At 36.0% G+C, this 25,327-nt stretch overlaps 1 protein-coding gene and 1 pseudogene across 14 annotated transcripts in view, besides 2 other annotated features; one reads left to right on the plus strand and one right to left on the minus strand.

The window, feature by feature from the left end:
• SHOC2 (SHOC2 leucine rich repeat scaffold protein) overlaps window positions 3-25,327 on the plus strand; it is a 94,296-nt gene continuing 68,971 nt past the window's right edge. For 10 of the 13 annotated variants that reach the window (NR_199808.1, NM_001324337.2, NM_001441186.1 and 7 more), the window contains exon 1: window positions 237-290. The gene's annotated coding sequence lies outside the window, so the exon portion shown is untranslated. Of the gene's footprint in view, window positions 75-236; window positions 291-22,009; window positions 22,108-25,327 lie in introns of those variants that run through there. The other 3 variants (NM_001441185.1, NM_001441184.1, NM_001324336.2) reach the window with 2 other exon arrangements.
• Window positions 157-596: a silencer, noted in NCBI's record as "silent region_2828". NCBI's record gives its function as "represses an Ori minimal core promoter by ATAC-STARR-seq in GM12878 lymphoblastoid cells {active_cell/tissue: GM12878}" and the evidence as "EXISTENCE:reporter gene assay evidence [ECO:0000049][PMID:35858748]".
• Window positions 607-696: a silencer, noted in NCBI's record as "silent region_2829". NCBI's record gives its function as "represses an Ori minimal core promoter by ATAC-STARR-seq in GM12878 lymphoblastoid cells {active_cell/tissue: GM12878}" and the evidence as "EXISTENCE:reporter gene assay evidence [ECO:0000049][PMID:35858748]".
• RPL13AP6 (ribosomal protein L13a pseudogene 6) lies at window positions 17,236-17,888 on the minus strand (annotated as a pseudogene). The gene has a single exon (NR_026715.1). The product of NR_026715.1 is annotated as a ribosomal protein L13a pseudogene 6 (transcript).

A 25,327-nucleotide genomic window follows, 5' to 3' on the forward strand; every position in this document is an offset into this window, starting at 1 on the left:
AGGAAAGGACAAGGGCGGAGAGAGAGAAGCTGGCGGCACTGCCCGTCTCTGATTGGGCAGCTTCTCTTGCCCCGGTTCCGCCCATTTTTCTTGCCTAGCGAGTGACGGGCCCACGGCAGAGGGGTGGGGCGGGGAGGCTGGAGCGAGAGTAGTGGCGGGGCGGGCGGGGCGGGGCGAGTGGGGGAGGGGCGGGCGGGGGGCGGCGGTTGGGCAGCGTCGCTTCTTAGGAGGAGGAGGAAGAGGAGGAAGGAGGGCGAGCGAGGAGGATGGCGGAGTCGGGGCTCCTGACGGTAACTCGGGGCCGATGAGGCGGAGGGTGTCTGTTGGTCGGTTCTTCCTGCCTGCCTTCCTGTCCGTCGGGCAGTCGGGCTGGCTGTCGGTAGGGGGAGGCCCCGTGCGCCCTGACAGGCGCGAGCCGGCAGCGCCGGGGCGAGGCCCGAGGGGCCGGGGCCCTGGGAGGCGCCGCCGCCGCCGCTTTCCTGGTTGCTGTCTCCGGGAGTGCGGGGCCCTTGGAGCCGGCTCGCGTGGGAGCCTGCAGCCCGGCGCGGAGAGGAAGGCGGTCGGGTGTGACAGCGGCCGGGGCCGGGCCTGCGGCGGCGGCGGCGGGCGGCCCGGACAGCGCCTGGGCGACGGCGAGCCGGCGCGAGGGCGCGGGCCGGGGGCCCCCGGCGGACAGTCTCTCTCCTCTCGGCTCCCTGGGCCCCCGGGCCCAGTCCGCAGGGCGCCCCGAGTCGTGTAAATCGTTGGCGAGGGCCCGGGCGCAGCGGCGGTCATACAGGGTGGGGTCTCTTCTCGCCCCCTCCCTGGAGTCCACCTTGCTCTCCCGTTCTCCTCTCCCTAAAAACCCTTGAGTGAAGAGTGCTGGATCGGCTCTGGGTGTGTTGCCTAGCGAAGCGAGTTGTAGCCCTTCGAGACCGCCTCGTAGAACATGCCCGATGGCAACCTCTCCCCGTGATAGCACAGCTTTTAGGGAGAGAGGAAAAGTAGTCTCACTCTTCCCCGACTTCCCCAGGCTCATAACACAAGAGGCTTTGGGGCAAGACGATTTTTCCCCCAGCACCTCAATATCCATTGTTTTTGTACCATCCCCCTCCCCCCATGCCTAGGTGGAAGAGTAATGACTCCAAAGCATTAACTTGCCTTTCTCTTTATTTCTTTTCTTTCTTTTTCTTTTCTTCCTTCCTTTCTTTAAGCAGGCAGTTTGTGTTATTGTGGAATTATGGATTTACAAACAGGTGGAATAAATACCGATTCGGGAGCTAGAAAGAAGATGCTTTGTGTGTGTGTTTAAGCCCTTACAGTTGGCAGTTTGATTTTTCTTGTCTGTTGCTTTGTATCGTAATGGGGGTGATGAGAATAAAAGAGGAAGCACTGTTTTGCAACCTACCCAAAGAAATATTTTCGAAGTCTCTGGGGATGCTGAAGCAAAATTAGGTTGCAGATGTGGACTGTATAGTATTTGCCTCCAGCGTGATAACTACCAGCAGTGTCTAGGCTTACACCTGTGCCATTTCGTATACTTTTCTTAGATACCGAGTGCGTCTAGTTTCTACTCAAGAGGGACTACTATATCAAAAGCTTTTTGTTACGGTTTTCAGAATCCTAAGGTACATTTGTGTAACCAAGTGTTTTTGTAACTAAATGCAGCAACACCACTGAAAAATAGTTTTAATTTTAAAGACCTCAATTTATTAGTGTACTTACTAATCTTTACCCTCATCCTCCATGCTGTGGACTGTAGAACTGTTACTGTGTACTTGAAGAGACTTAGCTATTGCATCCAATTTGTAACATTCAGTAAGGTTATATTTATAATTTGAATTTATCAAGTGTTGATGTTTTGCTGTGTGACAGTGAAAAGAATTTTAGGAATAAAGTATGCAAATGACCATTCGCCACATATGGAACTTAGACTGAGTATGATAAGCCTTTTGTCTTTATTTGGACATAAAGTATATTGTAAACTTTTTATGTAATTATAAATACACATTTGAAAAATAGACAAAAATAAACACAAAACTGAATAAAAGTTTTGTCTAAGGTTTGTAACTTTCAAATGTCTGAAATTTAATATAAAGCCAACATATAAAACAATATTGAAATCCCAGTTTCAAATTATGGACATGTCTTTAAGGGTACTGCATTTTCCCAAGGTGCTTGTTCAGTTTTATTTTTAGTTTTTAATTGTTATGGGTACATAGTAGGTTTTTATGGGTTATATGAGATATTGATACAGGCATACAATGCATAATAGTCACATTAGAGTAAATGAGGTATCCCATCATCTCAAGCATCTACCCTTTGTGATACAAATATCCAATTATACTCTTAGTTATTTTAAAATGTGCAATTAAATTTATTGAGTATGGTCACCCTGTTGTGCTATGAAATACTGGATCGTATTCATTCTGTTTTTTTATATCCATTAACCATCCCCACATTCCCCCTTCAGTTTTTGAGGAAACAGCTACATTAAAAGTTGACATTTGTTTTCTGATCGCTCATTATTAATATAATTTTTAAGTTCAAAAAATTTTCTCATAAATTATTATGGATTAAAGAGTGATATTAAAATATACATTAATAGTTTGCAGCTAGATCTTTTTTTTTTAGTTTTTAAACTACCGTATTCAGAAAGTTCATCAGAGCTGTTTTTCTGGTAGTTGTAGCAAGTAAAAGGTCATGCATCAACTTCTGAACTACAAGCCAGTTGGAAATTTGAAACATTTCATGTTTAAATAGAAACATGAAAATTACAAATTCCTTTGTCACACTTGCTGGAATTACGCCTTTAAAATGTTACTCTTTTTTCTGTGACTTGGGTCAGGGAAGAATGACTTTTCTCTTTCCACATCAGAGAGACATAAACTGGAATTCTATGTGGAATGTTTCCAAAGATGGCTTCCGAGTAGTGATTGGTATAGTTATTGCTTTGGCTTACCTGTATGAATTATGGAGGATGGGTGAATAAACTTGAAATTCTTTATTATACAGGTGGATAAATTATAGTTATATTTGCCTTAAAAATATGCTCATTTTCAATATTTGTTGTATCATTTAATATTTCTGGAAGACTTCTTTAAACTTCAGATATTTTGATTTTTTTGTAAAAATATTTAAATACAGAAATCTGTGTTTTAACTAAAAGATACAAACTCTATATGTAGATATAAGGATGCATATTTTTGGAGGCTGAAGATTAAGTGAAATGTATCTTTAGAATTTGGTTTACTATATGATTCATGTATCTTTCATGTATGAAAAAGCCTTAAGATTAATGCTTATAACAAAATAAGATTTTAAAAAACCCCAAACAATAAAAAACAACAAAACAAGTTAACTCACAAATCCTTCAGTGAGTTCTGAGATTTATAACTTAGACTTGGAAGAATTTTGCTACTCGTTTATAAAATATCAATTAACAGAGGAAATTTAAATATAAATTGGATATTTTGACATTTCTTAATGAGACTAGTAGGGATTGGTATTTTGCTATAGATGAATAAATGGAAACTGTAATTTATCAGTAGAATTATACATTAAGTACTTTTATGTGATACTTAAATGAGTACTTCAAATATTAAGTGAGTTGGTATTTTTGCTTGTTGGTAGACCTGTATTTCATGCATTATGTGTTGTGCATTAGACATATAAGTTGGCTGAATCTTAGACTAATTAATGGACATATATCATCTGCTATCCTTGTAATCCCCTATTTTAACTGCTTGGCCTTCTGAATTTTGTTTCATTTACTTGTTACACTGCATCAAAGTTGTGCCCTGTAGATCTTTTTTGAAATATTTTCTCTTAATATATTAAATTTTTATATTTTCCGACTGTGTAAACTGACTTTTAAAATCTGAATAATTTCTGAATTACAGATGACCTATGGTATGCTTGAACTTCATATATTATAGAGTGTTCTTAAAAGTGTTTGTTAATCATTACAGATTGAAACATAAGTCTGAGAAACTTTTATGTTCTAAAATATATAATTGAATTATTTTAATATAAATTAATGTTCATTCTGGTTTTGTTTGGTATTTTCCCCCGGGTCTCAACTTTTTAACACAGCATCTTTAATTCAGCAAAGCAGAGTTTATACACGCAAAAGGATATTTTAATTACCAATGATCCTTAAGCTTTTGAGATAATGGTAGTGTATGTGCTTCTTGAGAAAGCATGCAGTTCCCATTATCAAGATTTAAAAGAACACTAATTCATTTTCACACTGTATATCTCATTCCAACTTCTCTAAAGGTCAGAACTGATTGCAAAAAGTAGTACATGCTCTAAAATGTAAGGATTCATTTATGAGAAAGAGTGAACATACTGCTTGTAGCTAAAACATTACAGGAGACCTTAAAAAGGGGTATAATTGGTCCCTATGTGAAATGAACCTGACATATTTTTATAAATTATTTGTGCATGACTATCTTTTGTTGATAGCACTAGGAAGACTTCTAACGTTTAAATACTTTATTTGCCCTCAATTACTATTTAAAAGTCCTATAATTTTAAGTAATTTTACAGCTGACAAAGATAAATATTTTTTTCTTTTAGTTTTTCTAATGTCTTGGAGGTAAAGTGGAAATGGCCTGTTTTGACACATAATTTCTAGAACTTGGAGTTAATTTGATCAGTTACATTTGGGTTTTTTTCAGTTTCCAGTTTTGTGTTGTATAACACTTCTTCCTGCTTTCAGTACTTTCTCAGTCTTGCAAATAGTCTTTAACTTTTCAATTTTGTTCTATAAATATTTCTTAGTAACTACAGTTTCACATTCACCAATGTCATGGAACTTCTGCTGAATGCCATGTGTGTCCCAGGCTCTGTGGATACAGAGATAAATATGTTTCCTTCTTTCAGTAAGTTCAGAGTTTGTTGCATGAACCGGACAAGTCAATAGTTAATTGTTAAACAATGTGACACATGCTTTTAACAGCAGTATATACACTGGCAAACTCAGATGAGTTAAGACTCACACTGCACGTATAACTGGCAATGCCTACTGGAGGACAGGACTGGAATGAACTCTTGAGGAATAAGTAGGATAGGGGAGGGTAATAAAAGCACAAAGGTTAGATATGTTTAGGTCCACTTGGGCAGTTAGAGAAGAATAACAGTTTGGATTCTAGTAATAATATTAGGTCATATGGTAGACTTCGATTAAAGCTTGTATTATTATTAATAATAATATTTCTTGTGTTCCTAATTTTATTTGGGCTTTGAACTGCAGATCTGTATTAATGTTGACCAAACTATTATTTAAAACTTCACCTTCAACACCTGTGAAAAGGGAAAAATTTTCACCTATTTTTCATTACTATTTTAATTAAATACAAGGAGAATATATCAGTGTAACGTGGGGAATAATTCCCAGGCTTAGAACTTGGATAATGTTTCAAAATCATACTTAAGGCCGGGCGTGGTGGCTCACGCCTATAATCCCTGCACTTTGAGAAGCTGAGGCGGGCAGATCGCTTGAGGTCAGGAGTTTGAGACCAGCCTGGCCAATGTAGCGAAACCCCGTCTCTACTAAAAATACAAAAAATTAGCTGGGCGTGGTGGCAGGCACCTTTAATCCCAGCTACTCGGGAGGCTGAGGCAGGAGAATCTCTTGAACCCGGGAGGTGGAGGTTGCGGTAAGCCGAGAACATGCTACTGCACTCCAGCCTAGGCGACAGAGTGAGACTCTGTCTCAAAAAAAAAAAAAAAAAAAAAATTAAAATAAAAAGCAATACTTAAATGTCTTTTCTCAGCATTTATGTATCATGTTAAGAGTAACATTTATGAACTTTCTTAGAATTCATGGTAAAGTTTTTTTTTTGTATAATCATTTAAAATGTACTCTTTTTTGAGTACACTTTAAAAAACACTTTCCATACTTACTTGACAGTGCCACTCTTTAGGTAAGTCAGACTGTATGGTCAACAGTTATACCCTAGAAGCAGGCTTTGTAATTGTCTTGTATGATTTAAAAGTTCTCTGAACTTGAGAATTGACTAATTTTTCACGCAGTATTTTTTGGGTTTTTTTGTTTTTAAGACAGGGTCTCTTTTTCACGCTTTTTTTTGTTTTTGTTTTGGTTTTGTTTTTGTTTTCAAGACAGGGTCTCGCTCTGTCACCCAGACTAGAGTGCAGTGGCACAATCATGGGGCTCATTGCAGCCCTGACCTCCCTGGGCTCAAGTGATCCTCCCACTTTAACCTCTCGTGTAACTGGACTACAGGTGTGTACCACCATGCCTGGCTAATTTTTCTATTTTTTGTAGAGACTAGCTTTTGCCGTGTTGCCCAGGCTGGTCTCAAACTCCTGAGCTCAAACAATCCACCTGCCTTGGCCTCCCAAAGTGCTGGAATTACAAGTGTGAACCACCACGCCGGACCTTTCATGCAATATAATTTAATATTTCTTCCAGGGCGTATCATGTGAGGCCTAATTTTGATATCCCAAACTCCATTCCCTGCAGAGTGCCATAGTTTTCTGTGTTAAAACACTCATTTGCATTTCTTGATGCTCCTAATTATTTTTATTATAGAAATCTGAGAAATTTAAAAATATTAATATTTTAGCAATTGCCTTAAACATGTTGTTACACCTCATTTATCTTGAGATTACTTATAGGAAACTAAAACTATCTGGTGTCATCGGCTTGGTTACTACCTCATGCACTCTTCATGTAGCTAAACTCTAATCACCCTTCAGGCCTCAATTTTGTATCCCAGACTTTGGGAGACCTTCCTTTCATCCCTAGTTAGGTTCTTCTGTTTGAAGGTATCCTAGTGCTTTTACTTCCTTTTTTATAACACTATTTTTGTAATGATATATTTGATGTCTGTCTTTATTGCTAGACTGTAAGCCTTAAGATGAGCATTGAGTATGTCTGTCTTATTTACTGTTCCACCAGTATACAATGTCTAGACTTTGTAGGTTCCAAGTGGAAAATTAGTTTTAGATGAATAGTCTACAGCTCCAAAACAAACTGAACAGGCCCAAAGGAAGGACAAAGACATGTCATAATGTTCTTGTTTTTAAACACACATTTTCTGTTTTTAGAGTCCTTCAAGCCTTAATTCAGGCATTTTTATTCTCACGTAGTGCACAATTTTTAAAAGTTTGGTAACCAAATGTAAAAAGGACTGAAATTACTCCTAGAGGGATAAGAGAGTTGAAAATAAGAGCAGAAGAAAAACTCGAAAAGCCAGATGCAAGACATTTTGTAAAAACAGCAGTTTATAGCAACTTAATGTTATGACAAACATGCGTAGAATCTTTCAAGACACTTTGTTTTATACATAGAATAGTATAGAAAATAATGATCTAGGATCATGAAGAAGAGGTTATTGGATATTAGTAAATTTTGTTAATAACCTCATGTATTTTGGAAAAATTCCATTCAAAATGATACAATTTAAAACTTTTACTGTGTTAAGCTTTTCTTACTGGGAAGGTTTGCTTAATGAGGTAAAATATAGTAGGTAACAGTATTTATTGAACAAAATTTAAGTTGAAACAAATAATTATCTGAAAATACTGATCAGTGCAGTATAATATACTACCTTGTAATTTGTAGAGGTAGATACTATAATTACTATGTGTTTCTTTGTTTACTTTGCTATGAAATATGTAAAATTGAGTAGCAACATTTTTTTCTTGACCCACTTTTAATGAAAACAACCTGTTGCATTGATAAGACAAAATAACTAAGTATTTCTTCAACTTTTATTCTGTTAAAGAAAATAAGCTTAATTCCTTGGCATTGCCTGGTTAACCGGACTGGGAAAATTAGGTTGAAAGTCATAGTTCTTTGCTAAAAGTATGTGGTGTCTGACAGATTGGGTGACCTGAAATAGATTATATTTAATTCAGTTTGGGTTTGTATATATCTGCGATATAGAATTCAAAATTTCACCAGAGCTTTAGTTCTGGTTCAAATAAATTACATTTTATTTTAATATTGTGATCTCTTGAATTCTGTGACTATAAGGATAGGTAGGAGAGCTAGTTATTTTGCTCCTAAAACAAATATTGGTTTATCTACCATGTGCTAATTGCAACTCTAAACTCATAGAAATGGGATGCTTATATACTAGGCAGCTTAAAATAGTAAGGTTTTATGATTTAATCTTGAAGACATTTATTTCTGTACTTTGGAAGTAGTGATTTGAAATTCTTAATACTAGAAAATGGCCTAGTTTCAGAACACCCACTAAGCAACTGTGGGAACTCAGTATGCTAAATGGCTGGTAGTGCTGCAGTATTTTTTAAATTTTCCCCACCTCCTGTTATATAATAGCTTATAGTAGTACAACAGAATATGAGTATTTGGGACGAGAACAAAGCATATTGAAACCGCAAAATGATGTGAGATTGTGTCAGGCTTTGTGTTGGGCACCAAGCACCTTAAGATAGTCAGATATAATGATGGTTAGTGAATGTTTGAAATAAATCAAGTGGTAATGTTTTAGGTTGCAAATAAGGCTCATGAAAATAATTATTTGGAGGCTTGAGAAAAATGACTTTTAAAATGGAGTCACTATTTTTAAAACACAATACTCTTTTATTAGAAAAAGTTTGATAACTCTGATATAAATATTCCAATGATGCTTGTGTACAATACTTAAAGCTTTTAGTGAAAATAGTTTTTATTTAAATATTTCCCCTGGCCAAGTGTGGTGGCTCACACCTGTAGTCCCAGCACTTTGGGAGGCCGAGGCGGGTGGGTCACCTGAGGTCAGGAGTTAGAGAACAGCCTGGGCAACATGGTAAAACCCTGTCTTTACTAAAAAAACAAAAATTAGCTGGGTGCAGTGACGCATGCCTGTAATCCCAGCTACTTGGGAGGCTGAGGAAGGAGAATCGCTTGAACCTGAGGGGCAGAGGTTGCAGTGAGCTGAGATCACACTACTGCACTCCAGCCTGGGCAACAAACAAGCAAAATAATTTCCCGAGACTGTTGTGCAACCCCGTCATTGTAGCATTGTTTCAGCCTATGAGAACCAGATACTGAAATTGATTAGAAACTATTAAAAAAAGTTCACTATTTACTTTTTTATTTAGGAAAATATGGTTATAAAGGAATTTGATAAAACATACTTTTACTAGCTTATTTTGTTAATTTATAAAGGGACCAAGTTGAGCCTGCACTAGTTGTAAAAGATAGATTAATATTAAATGTTTCAGATAAAAGGTTTTATGATATGAAAAAGGATGGACTTAAATTTGCTTTAAACATCAGCTGTATGGCAGGCACAGTAGCTTATACCTGTAATCCCAGGAGTTTGGGAGGCTGAGGCAGATGGATCGCTTGACTCACAAGTTTGAGACCAGCCTGGGCAGCATGGTGAAACCCCGTCTCTACCAAAAATACAAAAATTAACAGGGTGTGGTGGCATGCATCGGTAGTCCCAGCTACTTGGGAGACTGAGGTGGGAGGATGGCTGGAGCCTAGGAGGTGGAGGTTGCAGTGAGCCTAGATCTTGCCACTGTACTCCAGCCTGGGGAACACATCCAGACCCTGTCTCAAAAAAAGTCAGCTGTATAACTCCTGTAGAGTTAGCTCTGTGAGTAATACCTTAATGCATATGAAAAAACTTTCCTGGCTTTTTCTCAATTGGAACTCAATTATACCTGATATTTGCAGGTATATATGTGTATTATATAAATACCATAATATAACAACAATGATCCTGTGCCAAGATCTTGAAGATTTTTGTTTTATCAAAGAAAGCTGAAATTGTTTAATATAATTGAAGTTTTCTTATATTTTGTCATATTCAAATTCTTTGAAAATTGATAATCTATAAATAGTAGATTGATGTGGTAAAAATAAAAATTGTTCATTAGCACATCTTATGGCCATTATCCAGTTTTTATAACTAATTATGCAAATTGATAATATTTGAGTTGCTTCCAAGAGCAACTAAGAATCACTAATGTCAACATTTTTTTCTTCCTGGCATGATTTAAATAATATATCACTTGCTACCTGCAAATTACTACGTGATTTACATGTTTGTGGTATGGAAATTTTTTTCATATCAAAGCTTCTGATGTGGGAATCTTATTTCATATCAAAGCTTCTGATGTGGGAATCTTATTTTGAGATTTTCTTTATCTGCTTGAACTGCTATAATAAAATACCATAGACTGGGCGGCTTAAGCAACAGTATATATATTTCTTACAGTTCCGAAGGCTAGAAAGTCCGAGATTGAGGTGCCAGCCGTTTCTGTTCAGGGCGAATGAAGAGTCTCTTACAGGTCTTCCTGCTGTATCTTCAGTTGGCAGAAAGTGAGAGAGCAAGTTCTCTGGTCTCCTCTTACAAGGGCATTAATCCCATTATGAAAACCCCACCCTTGTGACCTCATCTAAACCTAAGTACCTCCCAAAGGTCCCATCTTCAAATACCATCACATTGGAGGTTATAGCTTCAGCATAAGAATTTGGGAAGGACACAGTTCAGGACATAGCAGGATTATATTCACAAGATAGTAGTTAATACATACCAGTTGGGAATTGTAGGGTTGTGTTTAATGTGTTAAATTACAAAAATAAAGTATCCCTTTATGTATATTAAAACATATAAGAGCTGCCTTTCAATATCTTGAGTAACTTCTGATGGGAGAAATTCCTTATTATCCTTAAATTGAGTATGGCTGCTTATTATGTTTCTTTTGATCTTATATGAGGAAGATTTTAGCTTTGTGATATTTTTTAAAATGTAATACAGAGATAATGAGATTATATTTTTAAAACCCAAATTATAAAAGTTCTATTTAATAAACCAAACTGTCAGAATGGTAGATAAATAGTTGAACATAGAGGTCTTTTAAAGTCTCAGAAATGGACCATATAAATGTAAGAAACGCCAGTTGTTTTATAATCATGGCAACTTACTAAATACTGACTGATACTCAAATATAAGATACCTTGAGACCACACACTCCTAGTCTTGTTATTGAGAGCGCATTTATTTTTGTTTTTTTTCTGACAGTTTCCGATAGTTTAAATAGAGTGAGTAATGGAAAGGATTTATAATGAGATAGACTTAGTGAAGAAATATGTGGCTTTATATGTACAAAAAAGTAGTAGTTAAATTTAATTAACAGTTTTTAGTTTAAAAGGTCTGAAAATCTTTTTTTCTTTGAAAATACTATATTGAATATTGTAGTCATCTTAGTGTATGTAGCAGTTATATTTTCTCTTTTGCTTTACACTGGTAATTAAATAGCCTTTTTTTTAAAATTGCCAGTTTGCATGGGAAATGAAAAGTAAAGTATATCTTGGGAATACTTAAGTTGTGTATGACATGTTTGGAGTTCCTTGGCAAGAAAGGCAATTTAAGCAAATATTCACGAGTAAATCTTTTTTTTTTTTTTTGGTAGTGTTTGTGTGGCATTTAAAACTTTTCAGATAATGTTTGGTCATTTACCATTTGACGTTTACCATTATATCTTAGTACTTTTGAGACTTTTAAATCCCCTCTTCCCTATCCTGCCTTTTAACTGTGAGACTTTGGTGAAGAATTTTGCAGTTTATGCATATGGTGAGTTGAAGTGTTGTACAAGAGAGCTGTAATCCCAATTATGGTTTATATTGTGGATTGGGTAAACAGGAATTTTCAGTTCTTTGCTCTAAACTCTTGTTTTCCTAGAATGTAAATTACACGTAAAGTCTTTTGCTTTCCCATAAGAAGTAATGCAGGTTTCCTAAAAAACTCCCATTTGCTGCTATATAAAATAAATCAGTCCCATGTCTCTCCATGTCTTTCCAAAATATTTTATTTTGCTTCCTTACCAAGGAGGGAAAAAGTTGAATGAATGAATTTGAAGATGCTATGAGTTGTGGACTCTTGACATAATTCTAGTTAAATGGACAAGTGTAGAACATTTTATTTTTGTGGACAGCCGTTAGCCTCTATCCCCTACCTCAGGTTCACTTGTGCTGCTTAAAGGTGTGCTTTTCCATTTCTCTGTAAACAATAACATTCTTTTGAGCATGTTAATTGTGGGTGTTTTCTCATTCTTTGGACCAATCTTTTGGTCTTCTAACTTTGAAAGCTCCTTTTTAAACTCTTAAACTGCAAAAATATATAGGTTTACATGATTTAGGTGGGAGAGCTCTTTCTTTTTATTTAAAAGAATAAGAAGCCTTTACATCTTAATAAATAATGGGAAATACAATTGAAATCTTGTCATTTTTAGGTATTCATGTCAAAATTTGAGTGACCTGGAGTTAATTTTAAGTAGGATATAGGGGAACTCCATGCATGAGATGAAACCTTGTTTATTGTTCATTTATCATGTTATTAAACCAGTATTTATTGAGCATTTATTTTGTGCTCAATAAAAGGTTCATAATATTATGTTTAGAGTTATTTATAGAGTAAAAATTGCTGTCTAGAATGGCAGATAAAGCCAAATTAGCAAGTATTTATTGTTCTTTCAATAAATATAAGTGTTATATGTGCTAAGTATTGTCCTAAGTACTAGAATACAACTGTGAAAAAGGCAGAAGGGTTCCTGTTTTCCCATTACCTTTAAATGAGAGAGTCAGACAACTAACCTGCCAAGTCTAATAATAGCATGATAAGTGTTCTGTTAGGGGAAGTTTTAAGTGGGAACACAGAGGAGGTGGTATGCAGAAAGGCTTTTGAATAATTAGGAAAAGCCTTCCCAGACCTCTAAGCTGAGGTCTGAAGAGTAAGTAGGAGTTAGCTCAGTGAAGAATTGTAAATCTGTGTTTCTGGCAGAAGAATATAGCTTGTGCAAAGTCCTTGAGACAGGAGATAGAAGACGCTGCCATGGGATGTGAAAGAAGTTCATGTGACCATAGTGCAAGATGGGAAGTATTAGAGTTGTGGCAAAAGTATGCAGGGGCTAGATCTTCAAGACATGTGAATTATTATTAAGAAATTTGGGTTTAATCCTGAGGACTCCCCTCAGTTCTTTTAATTGGACATTAACCTGATTAGATTTGAATGTTTGAAAGATCACTCTAATTACAACATAGTGATTAGGTTAAGAACAGGATGGGAAAGTGGATATGGTGAGACCAGTTAGAAGGCTATTAGAAGAGAGAATTTGGTATACCTTATAGCAGGGTAATGGCAGTGAGAATGAAGAGAAGCCAATGGCATTGAGAAATTTGGGGAGAAAAATTGATAAGATTTGGTGATTGTCAGAATGTAAACATTGAAGGGGAGAGAGAAGTCAGGATGACACCACCTGGATTCCTAGCCCCCTTTCACCTTTTTTGGTTGATTCCTGCTTAGATGTTATCTCTTTTAAGAAGCCTTTCCTGATTCCCCTAACCTCCAAGGCTAATTCAGGTGCCTTCCCTTTGTGCTTCAACAGCACTTACTCGACTTTTTTCTTGCTTTACTCACTTGTGTATAAGCTTTCAGGCAAGGATTGTGCTTTATTGTTATTGCATGGTTTGCACCTTGCAAAGTGCAAGGTATACTAAGTGCATTACACTTAGTATAAATGTTGACCAAATGAAAATATACTTTTTATATTTATAAAAATTTAAATGTAATTGGAGAAAATTGGTTTTCTGAACTGCTAATATTCAAAACTTGTTTTACAACTTTAGAGTGAGTCATATCATTCCATGTACTTCTGAATGCCACTTGTAAAAACAGTTTATATTGTAATTCTGGCTGGAAGTAGTAGATATATTAAGTTCTTTATGGGTAATCATAGACTAAATGATCTCTGATTATTATATAGATCTTTTATGCATTCAGATTTTCTTTGTAGGTAAAGTTTTAATTGGCTTTATTAGTTTAAAAATTAACATCACTATCAGTGTTACATATATTTTGTTTCAAAATGAGAGTAGCTTTTTTTCTAATTATGAAAGGAGTGATTACTCATTGTATACATTTAAAAGATATACATACAGAGATAAAAAGTGAAAATCACCTGTAATTGAAGGATAGCATTGCTAACACTTTATGTTCTTCTAGACTTTGAAAATTTTATATATATTTATGATTATATATGATTAAGTTAAAAGAAAAATTAACAGTAAATACTTATGTTTGTACAAGATAAGGTATTAATATCATTTATAGTAAGAATCTTAATAGCCAGTATGTAGCCAAATAAACCAATAGGACTAGGATACTAAACTTCAATTATTACAGGAGACCAGGCAGGTAACATAAATGAGTGAACCCAGTAGGGGAAATATATGAGGTGGTTGAATTGTAGAACACTTGGAGAGGGCAGCTCCTTTTCAATGTCAGTTGATTTTCGTCATTAAGAAGTATGGAGCTGGGCGCAGTGGCATGCACCTGTAGTCCCACTACTCTGGAGGCTGAGGTGGGAGGATCTCTTGAGCACAGGAGTTCAAGGCTGCAGTGCACACTGATCACACCTGTGAACAGCCTAGACACTGCACTCCAGCCTAGACAATGTAGTAAGACCCTGTCTCTAAAAAACAAACAAAAGAAATGTGGATCCAGTCCAGTGATGCCCATATCTTTTGATTTTTTTTTTAACGAAAGTTTGGATTTTTTTGTGAGGCTCCCAAAGATTAAATTCTGGCAAATTAAAAAAGCCACAGTGTGTGTTAAGCACGATGTAGCTATTAGCTGTATTTTGTTTGAATACCACAAACAGTGGAAGAATGGAAAGATCTGCACACTCTTACTAATATGTAGATTTAAATAATATATCATTTGCATACGTCAGATTGATGAAAATGATTACTAATTTGCAAGGCTGGAAGAGTATAAGTTGATGCAGGCTCTTTGGAAGAAGGCAGTTTGGAACTACGTATAAAAATTTAAAATGCATATTAGTTTGGACCTGACAGTTCTACTTTCAGGAATCTGCCTTACAGAAATATTAGTCCCTGTGGGTGAAGATTGATGTTCAGTGAAGCATTATATATCTTGGTGAAAACAAGATTAAAAAATGTAAAGGAAAATAGAAACAACCTAAATATCAGTTGATAATAGGAATGATTAAATTATGATATAGCCATATCACAAATCATAGGCAATGAAAAGATGAAATATATCTGTATTCCTGTGTGGAGAGAGTCTAGAATTTACTATTTGTTAGTTACATACAAAAATTATAATTTATATACATAAAGTTATACTATGCTGTCATTTTTAATATCCGTACAACATTGCATAGTACCATAATTTAGTCTATTGATGTACATTAGGTTATTTCTAATATTTTGCTATTTATGTGCACATTGCAGTGAACACTCCCTTTACATATGTCCTTGTAGTGTTGTCTCCTAAGATATATTCCTTTTATATCTTACATGGTGACAACATTAAATATCTGAACTCTGTGACATCTTGGGGACATACATTTACCTCTGATAATTTGCTATTTGTATGACCCTTGAATTGAGTAAATGCACCCTAGGCATGGTAGACCAGAGAACTAACCAGAAAAGTGGCACTGTGTTTAGTCATCCTAGATTCTTTAAGATTTTTAAAGGTAACTTAAGTAGTAGTTTTTGTCTAGTCCATACATGCATGTGGTGTAAAATTCAAAAGATATAGAAAGGTAAAGTAAATCTTTCTCCCACTCTGAAACCTCTTCTACCCAGTTTCTGCTCCTGGGAAACTACTATGAGTTTATTCATCCTTCTGCACATATTTTATACATATATGTATACTTTCTGCACATATATGTGCATATATATGTATATATTTTAAGTTTTTTGTAAATGATAGCATACTATGCTGTTCTACAGTTCACTTTTTCTCACTTAACTATAATAATATCTAACACTTACGTAGTGCTTTGTTCTAGGCCCTGTTCTAACAAGTGTTTTTGTATTGATTACTAATCTTCATCACAAACGTGAGAAGTAGGTAAATATTATTCCCTTACCACAGAGGAAGAAACTGAGGCACAGAAACTTTAAATGACATGCTAGTAGGTTGTCAGCTGGAAGGTGAACTCCAGCATCCAGCAGTTTGGCTACAGAGTCTTTTATATTAGCCCATTTGCTATACTAACTCAATTGTTGCCTCATTCTTTTTATTAACTACATAATATTCCCTTGAAAAAACTTCAGTTTATCTAACTAGGTCCTAGTTGGTGGACATTTAGGTGTTTCCATATACTGCTGTTATAGATGATGCTAGTGTGAATATCCTGGTGCTTATAAATGCCTGTGTCATTTTGAATATGTAAATCTCTTTCATTTTCATCCATTCAAATTTGGGAGTTAGGGGAGTCTTGTGTTCATATAGTTACATTCTATTTTGAGATCTAATATGAGACTTTTTTTTCAATGAATGTATTTAGCTAATTTATATTTATTATATCATTATGGTTATAGCCTCATCTTTTATAGCTAATGGACTAAGAGATAAGTCAAGGTATGTTAACAATTGAAATATACTTAAAGATGTAAAGCAGTACAGTATAAAGATATTAGCATTCCTCAGTCTATTTACTCTCTCACGTTTTGTTGGTTATATAAAAACATTATCAGGAATTGTAACAATTACATTATATTCTATAGCCATAGCCATAGTTTTAGACCAATAGTTAAGTGGATTCAAATGCTCAAAGTTTGTTATTTTCGATAGTTTTTTAAAAATCTTTTAGATGGCTGAACTTTATCATCAAGTATTTTCTTAAAGTTTATGAAAACTATTCCTTAGGGTTTTGCATATTTAATGATGTTTTATGCTGGGGGTAAATTCTTGAGTACTCTAGATATTGCTTCACTGATTTTTTTTTTTTTTTTTTGAGTCGGAGTTTCGCTATTGTCGCCCAGGTTGGAGTGCAATGGCGCGATCTCGGCTCACTGCAACCTCCGCCTCCTGGGTTCAAGTGATTTTCCAGCCTCAACCTCCTGAGTAGCTGGGATTACAGGCGCCCTCCACCCTGCCCGGCTAATTTTTGTATTTTTTTTTTTTAGTTGAGACGGGGTTTCACCATGTGGCCAGGCTGGTCTCAAACTCCTGAACTCAGGTGATCCGCCTGCCTTGGCCTCCCAAAGTGCTGGTATTACAGGCGTGAGCCACCGCACCCAGCCTGCTTCACTGATGTTTAAACATTGATTCCCTCCTCCTTCACATGTTAAGATAGTAATGTTTTTTGCGTAGATTCTCAAAGGATTCTCTTTTTAAATCTTTGAGAAACAGTAATTTTACTATTGCAGTATTTATCTTGATTAGTCTGCATCAGCTTTTCTTAGGAAAGGGCATGTCCTTTTCTTTTCCTTTTTTTTTTTTTTTAACAGTCTTTATTGGGCTCAGACCAGGAGTCCGTGGGTCTTGAGGACCTCTGTGTATTTGTCAGTTTTCTTCTCCATGTTCCTCTTGGCCTGTTTCCGTAGGCTTATGAGCTCTTTCTTCTTCCGGTAGTGGATTTTGGCTTTCTCTTTCCTCTTCTCCTCCAGGGTGGCTGTCACTGCGTGGTACTTCCAGCCAACCTCGTGAGCCAGGTGCCCCAGATAGGCAAACTTTCTTGTAGGCTTCAGACGCACAACCTTGAGGGCAGCAGGAACCACCATCCGCTTTTTCTTGTCGTAAGGCGGTGGGATGCAGTCAAACACCTTGAGGCGGTCCAGAGCGGCCTGGCCTCGCTTGGTCTTGTGGGGCAGCATACTTCGCACAGTCAGCCAGAAGATGGGGCTGGGGGCCCGGAAGTGGTAGGGGCGTCGGAAAGGGTTGGTGTTCATCCGCTTGCGGAGGAAAGCCAAGTACTTCAACTTGTTTCTGTAGAAATTGCCAGAAATGTTGATGCCTTTGCAGCGTACGACCACCACCTTCCGGCCCAGCAGTACCTGTTTAGCCACGATGGTCGCCAGGCGGCCCAGGAGATGGCCTCGACCATCAAGCACCAGGACCTGCACCTCTGCCATCTTCGGCTGCCCCTTGGGAAAGCTGCTTTTTTTTTTTTTGGTCCAATCCTGACTCTGTGTTTCAGTGATGCCAAATGAGGTCTGTGAAAGCTTCAAATGTTTCAAGCAAGGGACTGTTGGGTTTGCTTTTCTGACTGTCATGTAATTTACAGAACTGAACTAATAGTTTTAAGATTTGAAGATGCAAGCCATTTCCCTGGCTTGAGCTCTTCTAGCATCCCTCTTTGCCTTCACTGTATTTAGTAGACCCTCTCATATGTTATGGTTAGGGATATGTCTTAGTTTGTTGAAGAAGTAGTTTGTGTTTCTGTTTCTCACTCTCCTCTCCTAGTTGTTTTCAGATATTTTTAAGAGGAAAAGAGGGGACCATACCATCTTTCAAATTAGAAATCCTAAGAGCTACAGGTCAGTCCAGTTTTGTCAGAATTAAGATAACTTTAAGGGATAAAGTATGGGCTGATGTAGTTTTCCGAAAGCCAAAAATAGTTCATTTACAGAGGCTCTTTTGGATAAATTTGTTTTATTAAACAAAATCACAATTTAACATATGAGTTTGATTATATCAGTTTGTAGTTATGAAGTCTTGTGCATTAAAAAACATTAAGAATGAAACTAGTAAGTCTGCAATTAAGAATTAAGCATGAGACTAGAGACTAATGCCTAAAGACTAATAACTAAAGTTAGGGTTTAGTTTTAGAGTGCTCATCAGTTCTTCAGTTTTCCTTAGATGGTGATTCTTCTTTCAACTGAATCTGAAAATTAAACTTTCATGTACAAAGTTCTGCTACTAGAATATTTTTAAGTCCTTTAGCTTAATGAATGTTAGTTCTGGAATAATCTGGTATTCTGAATGGCATCTTGTTTTTCAAGGGTAGTGTCCATTTATTTTCCTCACTTAATTGGTCCTATATGTTAAAAGAAATATGTTTGAAAAATTTTGATAGCTAGTGGGCAAGCCTTCTTCTGTTCTCTGATTTGAACATATTCTTATATTCATTTGCCTGAGTTTCATTTTACCTGTGGCACCTGAGAGAAGCTAAGTATTTTTTCCACCCCATTTCTTTTATGTGACTGACTGTATATTTCTTAGTCTCAAATATAAAAACACATCTAACAGCTTCACAGAAAATTTTAATGCTTGGTAGATTATTGGAGCTTTCAATTTTTAGCCTTTGTTACTCTAGTTATTGATCATTTCAGTATTTTTAAAATCTCAATTACATTTTTAATAATTTATAATAATAAAATTTGATCAATGTTTTAATTTGATAATAGTGCCTATGTTTACTACTAAATAAGTGTACTTTGAGCAGTTGAAACACTGTGAGATATTGATAGATATTTCCCAAAAAGGGTTTTGTGATCCAAATAAATTTGGGATATCTTCTATGTAATATAATAATGTACTTTGCGAAGAACGTATAGAACACTAATAATTTCTACTTAAAGGAAGAGTATAATTAGATTGGAAGCACTTCTTATTCCAAACCTATTTGATAGTGGAACTAAATGTTGTAGAAATACATTTTGGGAAATGCTGAGAATATATTATAGAATATTTTCAGATCAGTGTGTTGTTAACGGTATTCCAGTACATGTATTTGCATGTCAGTTGCTTTTTAATAGGGATAAATGATAATTGCTGTCCCAGGATGTAAATATAATCAGAACATTTAACTGTGGTAGTATGTTTTCTATAAATCTGAGAGTTTTTTGACATGGAAATTTTGTTACCATTGATTTTCCAGACTAAAAGTAATTTTTGAGTGCCTCCTATGTATTAAACATCAAAAATTGATCTTCTTTGGAACTACTTTCTGTTAAGTCTTAGCAGGAGGAATTTTGGAAATCTTGTAGCCCTCCCGACTTATTTTTCAGTAAAAACTGAAGCCTAGAAATGTAGCTTTTGCCTAGGTCACATTGGAACCAAACCCTATAACTCCAGATTTTTTTGCTATTTTTTTTACTGCCTTAAAAATTTTATTTTATTTATTTATTTTTTTGAGACTCGGTTTCACTGTGTCACCCAGGGTGGAGTGCAGTGGCACCATCATGGCTCACTGTAGCTCCTATCTCTTGGGTCAAGCCATCCTCTCACCTTAGCCTCCTGAGTAGCTGGGACCATAAGCACGTGCCACCATGCCTGGCTAATTTTTATTTATTTATTATAGAAATAGGGTTTCCTTATGTTGCCCAGGCTGGTCTCGAACTTCTGGCCTCAACCAATCCCCCTACCTTGGCTTCCAAAAGTTCTGGGATTACTTTTGAGTACATTGCTTTTGAGATGGAAAGCTAGGTGGTATCTCCACTTAACATGAGAATTGAGGTAAGATATCGAGTCATCCATATGATGTTAGATTGATGTTAGATTATGACGTATGTCAACTTTGATGTTAGATTATAACGTATGTCAACTTTAATATATGTAGAACTCAAGTTTCTAGACATCTAGTTTCCCCCTCAGTTCTCTGAATTATTTTTCTCCTAGGCAAGAGAAAAAGTAGTTTTAAAATAAGCATGTATCCTTACCAATATTACTACTAAGGAATAATCAGTGCTAGTTTTTAAGAATTGGTGCACAGGCCAGAGATGGATGAGTCAGATTCTTTTCCCAATTGAGCTACATCATCACTTCCTAATGGTCAATTATGGAAATATTTTCCTACTATTAATGGAAAAGTGGACTTAAATGACTATGAAGTTAATCTCTAAGGTGCTGAATTAAAATTTATAGAATATATTCTTTTTAACATACTTTTCAGAAGATACCATTCTGTTGAAAATAATTGGCCTCTTGGTTATATGAATTATGCATTTAGACATAATGTATTATTGGAAGAAATTTCTCTTTTAAATAGCAGAATGATAAAAGTTATTAGTGCCATCTGTAGAATCAGGACTGAAATGATAGGAGAAAAATTTTTTTTTGAGATAGACATGTGGATTTTGTGTATTTTGTTGGCCACTCATTTTACTCAGTTTCCCAATACTAGAAAGCAATGCTGCCTTTCCTAATCTTGTTTCATCATAGTTTCTTGGGGTTTATGTGTCTAATCTTTACATTAATTGTGGTGTATGTTCTTCTATTTCTTCTTCTGTGCCTCTTTCAGAGATGCGTAACTCTCACATACCTTTATATTTCTCTTAGAAAAGAAATGAATCATATTAGGAAGAAGGCACATCTTTAGGGTTAGGTTCAAAAGTCAGCATATACGTGAAAATAGTGTATATTAAAAATGTCCATTCAAAGTCCTCTAAATGTTCAAAGTATAATGTGATTTTGCATGTATCATGTATGTAAATTCAATTATTTATAGTTATACAATTTTATATAGAGCTTATATTAACAAATTATTCAGGTGCTTCTTAGGTATTGCAGCATGTTTATGAACATTTCAATTTACTGATTCTGTTTATTGTCATCTTTATTTACTGTGATGATTTTATCAGTTCCTCTCTTAGTTATTTAATGGTTTTCTGTTGTCTTTAATTTAGATTTTTTCTTTAACAAATTGAGGAACTGTCACCATCCACTCAACCTGGCCACTTGGATAATTGGTATACGTTTTTTAGAATGTTTGGATATGTTGAAAAATGATTCACACACTCTTTCTATAGATTGACCACACACATTTGTCTTTCTTGAGGAAAGACAAAATAGTGGTATTTGTGGTGGGTTTTTTTTTTTTTTTTTTTTTTTTTTTTTTTTTTTTTTGTGACAGGGTCTAGCTCTGTTGCCCAGGCTGGAGTGCAGTTAGCACAATCTCTACTCACTGCAACCTCCATGTCCTGCGCTCAAGCAGTCCTTCCACCTCGGCCTCCCAAGTAGCTGAGACAACAGGTACATGCCACCATACCCAACTAATTTTTAAAATAGTTGGTATTTACATTATTTCTCTCTCCCCATCTCTCACTTTTTTTTTCTAAGTTGTGATAGGTGTGTAGTGATCTGTCATTGTGATTTTAATTTGCATTTTCCTATTGATTAATGATACTGAACATCTTATTTGAACATACTTGTTTTCTGTATCTCTTCTTCCGTGAAATGTCTGCCTGAGTCTTTGCCCATTTTCTGCTTGTATTATTTCTTTTATTAATGTTGAGTTTTTGTTTGTTTGTTTTGCATTTTCCTCTGTTGCCCAGGCTGGAGTGTAGTGGCGCGATCTTGGCTCACTGCAACCTCCGCCTCCCAGACTCAAGTGATTCTGGTGCCTCAGCCTCCCGGGTAGCTGGGATTACAGGTATGTGCCACCATGCCTGGCTAATTTTTGTATTTTTAGTAGAGACAGGGTTTCGCCATGTTGGCCAGGCCAGTCTCGAACTCCTGGCCTCAAGTGATCCACCTGCCTCAGCCTCCCAAAGTGAGGCATGAGCCACTGTGCCTGGCGTAATGTTGAGTTTTGAGAGTTCTTTTTATGTTTAAATGTAAGACTTTTGTCGAATACATGGTTTGCAAATATTTTCTACCAGTCTATATAACCTGTTTTTTTCATTCTCTTAACAGGATCATTTGTGGGGCAAAACTTTTTAATTTCGATGAAGTGCAGTGTATTGATTCTTTTCTTTTATGAAAAAAAATTTTTTTTTGCCTACGAATTACTAGTATTTGAAGACTTTCTTGTATGTTTTCTTCTCAGAATTTTATAGGTTTACATTTTACATTTAAAACCATGATTTTGAATTAACTTAAATTTTGGATTAGTTGAATTAATTTTATATACACTGTGAAATTTAGATTAAGGTAATTTTTTGTTTTTGTTTTAGCTTATGGATATCCAGTTGTTCAGCACCATCCAAAGAATTTTTCATTCTCTGCTAAGACAAAATTCATTCGTTTGTTTTGTACTTTGAAGGGTTCTTTACCCACGTGTGATTTTGATTCATCATACATTGGTCTTCTGGCTCTTTGAGTTACGCAGATTTTCTAAATGTTGACACATTTTATCATACAGTATTAAATAAAGACATTTGTTAATAATTCCACTGATTTCGTCAGGAAGGTCTTTAAATATTGGGTTGCTTTAAAGTTCATGGTGGTGAATGCATGCTTTCTAAAGTTCTAATTTTTATTTAGGGTCTAACTTTATCACTGGCAACAAATATTCTGTTATTTTGTTTTTGTTTTTGTTTTTGAGACAGGGTCTTGCTCTGTTGCCTAGACTGGAGTGTAGTGGCTCAGTCGTAGCTCACTACAGCCTCTAACTCCTGAGCTCAAGCAAGTCTCCCGCCTCAGCCCCACAAGGTGCTAGGATTATAGGCATGAGCCACTGTACCCAGCTCATTTGTTTTTGAATTAACAGGCTCATTTCCTTTATTTTCAAGAAAATGTCTGCCAAATACTAGAGACTGAAGAGCCGCACGTTCTCCTCAACTGGCTCAGGTTTTGATAATCCATACCAGGCTACCTCTCTGTAATAACATCCTCTTGGTCTACTCGGACTCTTTCATGTATATTTGAATTACTTTCTAGTGTCCTTCCATTTCAACCCAAAGTACTCACTTTATTTCTAATAGGGCAGGTCTGTTAGCAATGAATTCTTCTGGTAATGCTTTCATTTTACCTTCATTTTTGAAGGATAGTTTTTATGGATATAGAATTCTTGTTAGACAGTTTAAAAAAATTCTTTTAGAACTTTGAGTATGTCCTCCCACTGCCTTCTGGCCTCTATATTTTCTGATGAGAAATTAAATGTTAATACTTAGTATCTCTTGTACATGATGAGTCACATCTCTTGTTGCCTTTGTTTTGAGTTTTTTCATCCTCAGTTTTCTAAGATGAAGAATTCTTTCTGTCTGTCAGCAGTTTGATAATCATCTGCCTTCATGTGGATTCTCTTTGAATTTATCTTCCTCGGAGTTTGTTAAGCTTCTTAGATGTATAGATTGATGCTTTTCTTCAGAATTGAGATGTTTTCAACCATTATTTCTTTTCCTTCTTTCCTTCTGGGACTCCCATTATGAGTATGTTAGTTCACTTCATGATATTCCACAGGTCTCTGAGGCTCCGTTTCTTTTTCTTTATTCTTTTTTTTTTTTTCTGTTCCTCATACTGGATAATATAAATTGACCTATCTTCAACTTTGCTGATTCTTTCTTCTTCCTGCTCATATCTGCTGTTGAACCCTTCTAGTGAGGTTTGCATTTCCATGATTGCACTTTCAACTCCAGGTTATTTGGTTCTTTTAAAAACAACTTATATCTCTGTATTGATATTCCCTATTTGGTGAGACATTGTCCTTATACCTTCCTTTAGTTCTACAGGCATGTTTTCCTTTAGTTCATTGAACATTTTAAAAATAGCTAACTTACAGGAGATTTGATATTAAATTTTCATTTACAACTTTTACCTAAGTGAACATGGGCTATCATGACCTTCTGTGAGCCTGTGTCTTCAACTCCAGGGCGTGATCAATAATAAATGGCTGAGTTGTCCTGCTGGAACACTGAAACCTTGCTAACTCACTAGAGAACAAAAAGTAGTCTCACCATGTTAAATATTAAGTGAGTAACTTGTGTTTGTCAAATTGAGAACCTATTTTCTTATATCTAAACAAGGAAGTTAATCTTGAGGCAGTAGGAATGGAATTAAGCATTCTGGTCACGGAAAGTCACATTGGCCTTCTATGGATCAGTTTTAACAGTCTGCATTCTCCTTTTCTTCTTGGCAACCCAGAATCTTTCAACCAACTCTTTTAGCACACTTCTTCCACATATTATCATTTCAGATCGTCTTTTGCCCCAACTTTGCCCCAAGTGGCTGTGGATTGGATTTGATCTCACCAGTCTCCTCTTTCTTGCTCGTCTCAAAGGAAGACCTGCCTATTATCTCCCTGCTTTTTTGTTATTACAGAAAAACTGAGAATGACAAAAACATACCTTGGAAAATTTATTATGAAATCTGAAATGTGACATGTTACAAAGTTCATAAGCTCCTTGTTCCATAGTATATTGTTATCTCCATTCTTAGGATATTCTGTTGTGATACTGTTTTCTGCTTTTTATTTTGAAGTTGGTACTTATCCAGGCCCTCTTACCATTTTACCATTATCCAGTGAAAATTTATGGATTCTACCTTTATGTGTGCTCCTTCTGCCCACAGTGGAAAATGAAGATAATCCAGATCACAAATGAAAAGTATGTATCTTTGAGCCAAAAAAAAAAAAAAAAGCTGACTTAGAAGTGTTTAATAAGTCCAATATCTGGATTTCCTCAGGGACAGTTTCTGTTATTTGCTTTTCTTCCTGTGTATGGTTCATATTTTCTTGTTTCTTTGCATATCTTATAATTTTTTGTTGAAAATTACATTTGGACATTTTAAATAATAAATGATCTTTGAAATAATGTGGACATTCTAAATAATATAAAAATGTCCAAATAGTGGAGACTTATAATAAAATAATTTGACAACTATGAAAATCACATTTTGCCCTCTCTTCAGGGTTTGTTGGAGTACTTGTAGTT

This window comes from Homo sapiens, chromosome 10 (genome assembly GCF_000001405.40).
Source record: "Homo sapiens chromosome 10, GRCh38.p14 Primary Assembly".
NCBI lineage: Eukaryota > Metazoa > Chordata > Mammalia > Primates > Hominidae > Homo > Homo sapiens.